We start from the raw sequence: 8,666 nt of genomic DNA, 5'->3' as shown, positions 1-8,666 counted from the left end.
AGGGACCCTTAGGCCACCTGTAGTAGGTTGGCTCAGCCTTCACATGCCACTAGGAGAGAGAACTAGAGTCGATCAGTTCAGTTCTGTGCTCATCCCCTGGCACATGATGTAACTGCTGAAGGATGGCTCCCGGATGACAGTGTTGTTCATCCCCTGATGAGATGACCCTTTGCTGGCTGGGAAGACTGTCCTGGGTGCAGTTCTAGGGAAGACAATCATGCACCCTTAGCACTAAGCCAACCATGAGGCCCCAGTCTCTGCTCCCAAAATGTCAGCTTCCAGGGATCAGCCTCTTCTCAGGGCTCAAGCTGGTCCTGGGAGCTCTGATCAGGGAACCGGAGTCACTGGCTCCCATCTTCCAGGTGAGCTCTCTCTTCTTCCTGCACAGCTGCACCTGCGAAGGGAGGCCATATGCCGTGACTTCCAGGAACCCCCAAAACACCCTTTCCAGAGGCCACTACTCATAGCATTTGCTCTACTGTGACATAGCCTGTAACCTATTTTGCTGAAGAAAAGAAACTAATGAAACAAGTTTAGTCCCCAGCAAGGCCTTCCCTCTAATATGATCCCCTGATGCGTAAACACATACGCTCCCAGAGTTTAATCCTGGTGAGTAGCAGGCCCTCTGGTAAAGCATCTGCAATATCAGATGACAGTCCCTGCTAGATTTCCGTGTAGGTCTGTTCCGCATCTTCCCGTGTCGTTCTCCTTTTTGTCCTGCGATTGAGAACAGCACAGCCTTCCAATCCAAGACTGTTCCTTATGAAAAATGAAGCACCAAGTGAGATCTCACTCCTCTGTCGGGGCATTTGGAAGCTTGTGTTTCTTTGCAGAAATTGCTGCCTGATAGCTTTTTCACTGGCAACAGGGAGCAATTTGGCATCATATATAATCCTGGATTACTGACTTGATTAATATTTCATGGTGTCTATTAGTCATTTACATTTATAGAAACGTGAGTCATGAAAAATTAAAGTTTTAATTGCCTTGAGTGTCTTTCCTTTTGCTTTCTTTACTCCCCCTCCTCCTTCTTCTTCTTTTTGGTTAGAGAATTTTTCTCTTAGCTGAGCTGTCTTTCAAGTCTTCGTACCAGAGTTACTCAAAAGAATCAGGAAATTTGGAGATTCAGTTTGAGGACAGATTGTGTGCAGCAAGACAATAAGACAATGTCAGGAGGAGTATAAAATAATAAATAGCATTCTTCAGCTCAAGGGCAAGGCCCGGGAAAAAGGAAATGATCCGATGTATCCCTTTTCTTTTTCAGCATGGCAACTTTTTACCAGGAAACAAGATTTAATCCGTAACTGCAGAATTTCAGACATGAGGACATCCCAACATTACAGATCATGAAAAATGATACACAGGGATAGCCTGCTCCTGTGCATTGGTTTCTGTTAGTGGCAGTTGTCTTTGTTTTCTTTTGTTTTTGTTTTGCACTGATTAGGCATTTCAGAGGTGTCTTAAGCCACAGACATCCAATATGGAAGAGCCGGAACAGTAGCTGGACAGATTAGCCCACTTCTGAGAGTCTCCTGGGGAACTAACCCTTGTAATTGGACTTCTTGGACAACAAATTCAGGCTTACTCAGTGTTGCCACTCTTTTTTTTTTTTTTTTTTTTTTTTAGATGGAATCTCGCTGTGTTACTCAGGCTGGAGTGTAATGGCACGATCTCAGCGCACTGCAACCTTCACCTCCCAGGTTTGAGCTATTCTCATGCCTCGGCTTCACAAGTAGCTGGAATTATAGGCACGCACCACCATGCATGGCTATTTCTTGTATTTTTAATAGAGACAGGGTCTCACCATGTTGGCCAGGCTGGTCTCGAACGCCTGACTTCAAGTGATCTGCCCACCTCAGCCTCCCAAAGTGCTTGGATTACAGGTGTAAGCCGTCGTCCCCGGCCCCCAGTGTTGCCACTCTTTTGATAAATAAATGTATGGTCTTTGGTGTTCTGTACCTCTGTCATATAACTGCTCCTCTTTATTGGGGCAAGGGGATTTACTTGTATTTGACTCAGTGATTTCAAATAAATGCTTGACTTCAGATTCTTGGATCAGTCTCTCTGAGGGTGCCTTGTCAGGTGAGGTTGGCAATTGTGGGGATTTGCAAAGTGGAGCATTTGGTTCCAGTTTCAGAGGACATCAAGTGGATGAGAGATGGGCTGCTGGGGTTAAGGGAAGAAGAGGCACATTTCGCTCTTGTAGAAAGGCCTAGAAACCAGGCTGGAAGGGTAAGTAACGTAGAAGGCAAAGGTCAGTCAGGCGGAAGGCATGTGCTTGTGCGGCAGGCAGATGTATGAAAAGTGATCTTCTATCCTGAATATTAGAACAACTTTCTCAGGGAAATCTATGAATCTCCCATTTAATTGCTAATTAAACAAAAATATAGCATTTTCCAAAGACTATTTGATTTATAATTATGATAAAGTATATATTAAATGAAAATAATTGTTTTATGTCACTTCAGTTTAAACCATGTAACCATGAAACTTAATTGAAAAATGAACAATTCTTCTAACCTCTAAATGAAGCAAAGTATTATCAACCAAATTTACAGCAATAGGAAATACTTGCAACTGTGTGTTATGTAAGATTTGCTATGTGTTGTCACAGATTTATGACACCAGCAACTCAATACTGTGAAAGTTTCCTAGAGGATAGTATAGATATGTAGAATAAGTGAACCACATATTTTGTCTCAAGGATTAATTTCTTTTCAAGCCACATCAGATTTGCATGAATGTGCTTATATTAAGCAGTTTTTTCATGTTGTTAATTCTCAGTATTCCACAAAACTAAAAAATGTAGGTCATACCTATTACAGATAGTTTATTTTAGCATGTCACCTATACTGTTACTTAATAATTCCTTGACTATATTTTCATAATATAGTACAGTATTTAACAAAGAGGTGAAAGTACACCTCTAGAACATTAGCATTTCACTTCTTGGTTAGTTCAAATGATTTCATCATCTGAATTCCTTGAGATATATAAAGCAAGTTTGTCCTTTAAATGAGCTACTGGCAGGAACTTCGTGGAACTGTGAAATGAGCAGTGCAAAATAATTCATTGTGAAAATGAAGGAAGCAAGTATGTAGAAAACACACTCTAGATTTTTAAGGAACTGAATTTTGTTACTATTATGCAAATGAGGATCTGATACATGTATTATTATTTTTTACAGAACATTGCCAGAGATGGTATGCCTGGTCTTTGCCGTATAATGGTGAGTTCTAGCTGTTAGCTACTTCATAGTCATTACAGATCTCACACCAGTGAATGAGACAGTCATATCACTTGTTGGGATTCTCTGTTTTCTGCAAATAAAGGCAGTCTTCCTTACACAATCGCTGGGTCCCAGTTATTATAATGGCTTAGGAGAGTTATCAAAAAAAAAAAAAATGAAGGAACACAAGATAGCACTTGCAAAGAGAATCAAGAAAGCTATTGCCTTCCAGGCACTTGGCTGTTCTGAGGACAGAGCCCTGTGTAATGCTAGGTGTGCATGAGTCTATCTGCAGCGAGGGAAAGCGTCCCACACCATGATAACTCAAGAGACAGTGACTCTAGTAGGGCCATTCATGAAAACATACAGATACACTACTTTATTAGAAAATAAAGCCCCCAAATCCAGAATAACAAAACACAAAAGCAAAGAATCAACAGGAGCAACAAAAACTGGCCATAGCAGCAAGTTTCAATAGATGCCCCAAAGCAAAGCCAAGCCATTAATATGGCCTCCTTACCTCCTCTGTCTCCTTCTCTGATAATGCTCACAGCATGGGAAGCAGCTTGGGTTGGAAAGAGGACACATCAAATCTGTTTTCTCTCTTCTGGTGAATTTTCAGTCCTGACAAGATTCCCAGGACAGTACTTCCAGTGCTTAAAATGAGTGCAAGCTATTTGGAAGTATAACTCCGTCTCTACTGTTTTCGAAAAACAATGTTTTGATGGGAGGGGTTGTTTTTATTTTTGAGACAGAGTCTTGCTCTGTGACCCAAGCTGGAGTGCAGTGGTGCGATCTCGGCTCACTGCAACCTCCGCCTCCCGGGTTCAAGTGATTCTCCTGAGTTGTTGGGATTATAGTCGCATGCCACCACGCCCAACTAACTTTTGTATTTTTAGTAGAAATGGGATTTCGCCTTCTTGCCTAGGCTGGTCTTGAACTGCTGACCTCAGGTTATCTGCCCACCTCAAGCTCCCAAAGTGTTGGGATTACAGGCGTGAGCCACCACGCCCGGTGGAAAACCAATGTAACAAGAATTAAGTTTAGAAGCACACAAATACATGTCTGCACCCAAACACACACACACACGACAAAATTGAGCTAGAATAACTAGTCAGGCTGTGTTTGTTAGCAGACTGAAAAAAAAATACAAAGGAGAAAAAATGATTTTAATAGAGTTAAGATATTTCCTTATTACTTTGATTTCCAATGTATGGACTCATGAAAGTGGTCAAACTTCCACAATATTGCTGACATTTATATGAGAATTTTCAGGAGTTCTTTTACTTCAGTATAAATGTTGGCACTGTCAGGTTGTTCACTTGGAAGATCACAAAATGTCGTAGGAACATGCAGAGGTTCGCTCAGAAAATCAATTACAGCGTATCTGTAGTACAAACAGAAAGATGACCTTGGCATCTGCCAAAAAGGAAAAATAAATAAATAAATAAAAGGAAAGGCAATTTGCTTCCCACAAAAACCTTTGTACAGTGTGCCTCCGTGGCTTCCAAAAAGTAAAGCCCCAAACAAACAAACAAACAAAGTTTCTGCACAGGGACTAAAGAATGGTTTGCTATAGTGAGTGAGGGGAGGGAGTTGCCAAGTGAAAGTGCCATGCTTTGCAGTCATACTTAGCCAACTCAGAGCCACGGCAAGATGAGGAATCCCGAACAATGTTGACCTTCCAGTGGGAGAAAAATCAAGAGCTCAGCTCAGCTTGACAGGTGAAGTCGCCTGGGTTTCTGGGTGGGGTGGGGACTTGGAGAACTTTTCTGTCTAGCTAAAGGATTGTAAATGCACCAATCAGTGCTCTGTGTCTAGCTAAAGGTTTGTAAACGCACCAATCAGCACTCTGTAAAAACGGACCAATCAGCACTCTGTAAAATGGGCCAATCAGCTCTCTGTAAAATGGGCCAATCAGCTCTCTGTAAAATGGACCAATCAGCAGGATGTGGGTGGGGCCAAATAAGGGAATAAAAGCAGGCCACCTGAACGCCCTGGGACAGCTGTTTGGACTTTGTGAGTGTGTTGTTGTTTTGCTCTTTGCAATAAATCTTGTTGCTGGTCACTCTTTGGGTCTGCACTGCTTTTAGAAGCTGTAACACTCTCCAGGAAGGTCGCAGCTTCACTCCTGAAGCCAGTGAGACCATGAACCCACCAGAAGGAACGAACAACTCTGGACTTTTATGAGCTGTAACACTCACCGGGAAAGTCTGCAGCTTCACTCTTGAAGCCAGTGAGACCATGAACCCACCAGGAGAAAGGAATAACTCTGGAAGTGCCGCCTTCATGAGCTGTAACACTCACCAAGAAGGTCTCTGGCTTCTCCCCTGAAGCCAGCAAGACCACTAACCCACCAGGAAGAACAACTGTGGATGCTCCATCTGTGAGAGCTGTAGTACTCACGGCGAAGATCTGCAGCTTCACTTCTGAAGTCAGTGAGACCACACATCCACCAGAAGGAAGAATCTCCAAACACATCTGAACATGTAAGGAAACAAACTCAGACACACCATCTTTAAGAACCTTAACACTGACCGCAAGTGTTCACGGCTTCATTCTTGAAGTCAGCCAGACCAAGAACCCACGGGAAGGAACCAATTCTGGACACAAGCTTAGCTCAGCAGCTGCCCCAAAGGCATGGACCTGAGAAGTTCCTCCCCCCCATCAGGGCCAGTCATACCCACCTCAGACCAGTCCACTTCCACCTCAGGGAATCTGGGGGCCTTAGTCTGTTTCAGCTGCGTTAACAAAGTGCTTCAGGGGGGCGCTTTACAAATTGTCTGCTAGTTATGGAGATTAAAAGATCAATGTGTGGGCAGAATTTTTTCTTTTGAAATTTGGATCCTGGGTTGCAGATGGATGTTTTTTCCCTGTGAGCTTGCATGGTCACCCCCTGCATGTGTCTGCTTCTTGGCAGGATGTCAGAAGTGTTTGAACCAGAATAATTTCATCTTGCGTGGGGGCTGGGTAAAATAAGGCTGAGATCTACTGGGCTACGTTCCCAGGAGATTAGGCATTCTAAGTCTCAGGGTGAGACAGCAGGTCAGCACAAGATATAGGCCATGAAGACCTTGCTGATAAAACAGGTCATGGTAAAGAAGCTGGCCAAAACCCACTGAAACCAAGATGGCAATGAAAGTGACCCCTTGCCATCCTCGCTGCTCATTGTACGCTAATTATGATGCATTAGTATGCTAAAAAGACACTCCATCAGTGCCAGCACAGTTTACAGATGACATGGCAACGTCAGGAAGTTACCCTAAATGGTCTAAAAAGGGAGGAACCCTCAGTTCTGGGAATTACCCACCCCTTTTCCCAAAGATCTCATGAATAATCCATCCTTTTAGTATATAATCAAGAAATAACTATAAATATGGTCGACCAGTGGCCCTCGGGGCTGCTCTGCCTATGGAGTAGTCATTCTTTTGTTCCCTTACTTTCTTCATAAACTTGCTTTCACTTAATGGACTTAGAATTCTTTCTTACGCAAGATCCAAGAACCTTCTGTTAGGGTCTAGATCAGGACCCCTTTACCATAACAAGAACAGCTGTCTTAATGGACTAGGGCCCACCCTAATGACCTCATTTTAACTTATTTCATCTTTAAAGACTGCCTCCAAATAGTCGCATGCTGAGGTCATATGAATTTGGAAGGACACCATTAGCCCATCATGCTGGGGTAGTAGACTTGATTTTCTATCCCTTCCTACTGTTGTTTTCAACCATTGTTTTTAAAGCTATCCATATCATACTTGAAATTCAAATGCTATTCAGCATTCCGTCCCTGACCTGTCCCTGCTATTGCCTCTCCCCACACAAGACGAAAACAAGTTCAACTCTTTTCATTCTGGGGTTTAGCTCCTGTTCAGAAAACATGCTCCATGTTTTCACTTTAGTGTAGCTTCTACTGACTTTCTACTCTACAAAATAAGGATTTAATTCTCTTATACTTTCTTCACTCACTTTTACTCTTCCTCAATCTCCTGATAAAGTTACAGCACAATTTTAAAGCTTAGATCAAGATTCAACATGTGTGTTCTATATGATTGCAAATATTCTTCACAACTGGGTCTAGTAGAACAATAGAGTCATTTCTTGTACTTAGATTTTTTTTTCCTGGAATTAATCAGTGTTGTTTCGCTTTTTAAATAGGTGTTAATTGCAGGTGTCCTTCCTGGAGCCCTGCTTCCTGCTCCATCCACAGGGGTCGCTTTCCCACCTGCTGCGTGGGAAATCCTGGAGGAAGAGCGAGGGGGAGAGATGTGGCAAATGTTGACACACGAGGTTCCGTGCATGTGTGGGTTGGAGTTATCCCTCTTATCTTGCTATTTTTTGAGTTATTGATTAGCTAATGAGCCATGGCTCATGACTCCTTAATTCTCCAATTCTTTTTGTTGTTGTTGTTGTTTATTTTAATTCTCCAATTATTTAGCCTAGGGCAGAGTTATATACACTTTTTCTGTAAAGGTCCACATAGTATCTTTTAGATTTCCTCAGCCAGCTGTCTCTGTTGTAACAACTTAACTGTGCTGTTGTGGTGTGAAAACAACGCATGCCAATGATGAGCATATTTATGTTCCAATACAACTTTACTCACAAAACATACCTGTGGGCAAGATTTGGCCAGTATACCATCATTAGCTGATCCCTGGCCCATAAAAGGGTGCTTTTAAATTTTTCTATTGACATGATTCCATTGGCAGAGAAAAGTGGGTTTGTGCCCGCAGGGTCTCTAGCGGGTTACCTGGGGAAGCTTACTAGAAGCATAAGACAGCTTTGAAATCTCACGTATCCACAAATTTAGACAAAGTTTGACAAAGTTGAGTTGTTCTTCATAACTCAGTGCCCTGCTGATTAAGGAGGGTAGAGAGGGTTAAAGACAACTCAGATGAGGTTGGGGGTCTCTGGGAAGCTTTTTGCCCAGGACCCCTCTTCTTGTTTAGCTAGAGTACTTGGCTTGGCCATCCAGCAAATCAAAGGTCGTATTTTCAAGTTGCCATGGAATCTACGGCTGAAAGGAGACAAACATGGTAATCTATTTACTGACTTTCTTGCCACTGTTCCCTGTTTAGATTTTTCTTTGAGCCAATGACATCCTAAAAGGTAAAACAGCAATGAGGTTTAGACAGAACAAAGCCCTGTGGACCCACAGCAAAGCCTCACCCTTCAGAAAGATGATGCCCCTGCACTCTGGCCACCTTGAGGGCAACACGGAAATGGTCACAAGTAGAAAAAATTGTGTTTACAGCTGTGTGTTCTGTAGTCCTATGAGAGAGAGAAAACAGTGGGCCCAAATGGAGAAGAAAGGGCTGCCTCATCCCTGCACAGCCCTTGGTGTTGTTTCATTTTATCCTAAGACTCATCTCATTTCAACTCAGCAGGCTGGGGTTTGGGGCTGTGTTGTAACTAGGACTCTTTTGCTTCCAAACACAAC

The 8,666-nt window shown here is 42.8% G+C and overlaps 1 long non-coding RNA gene across 1 annotated transcript, besides 1 other annotated feature; it reads right to left on the bottom strand.

Annotated features, from left to right (window-relative positions):
* Positions 1–4,377: 4,377 nt before the first annotated feature.
* LOC124901617 (uncharacterized) lies at positions 4,378–4,951 on the bottom strand. Its single transcript, XR_007060289.1, has 2 exons — positions 4,861–4,951; positions 4,378–4,648 (listed from the first exon to the last, which is right to left on the bottom strand). It is a non-coding gene; the product is annotated as an uncharacterized LOC124901617 (long non-coding RNA).
* Positions 4,636–5,835: an enhancer, noted in NCBI's record as "BRD4-independent group 4 enhancer chr7:36104839-36106038 (GRCh37/hg19 assembly coordinates)". NCBI's record gives its function as "activates an origin of replication core promoter dependent on BRD2, P300/CBP, MED14 and CDK7 cofactors, and independent of BRD4, by STARR-seq in HCT116 cells {active_cell/tissue: HCT116}" and the evidence as "EXISTENCE:reporter gene assay evidence [ECO:0000049][PMID:35650434]".

The sequence above is a fragment of the Homo sapiens genome, chromosome 7 (assembly GCF_000001405.40).
Source record: "Homo sapiens chromosome 7, GRCh38.p14 Primary Assembly".
NCBI classification, from domain to species: Eukaryota; Metazoa; Chordata; class Mammalia; order Primates; family Hominidae; genus Homo; species Homo sapiens.
Note: the sequence above shows the minus strand (reverse complement) of the source record. Positions and strands in the feature narration are given on the sequence as shown.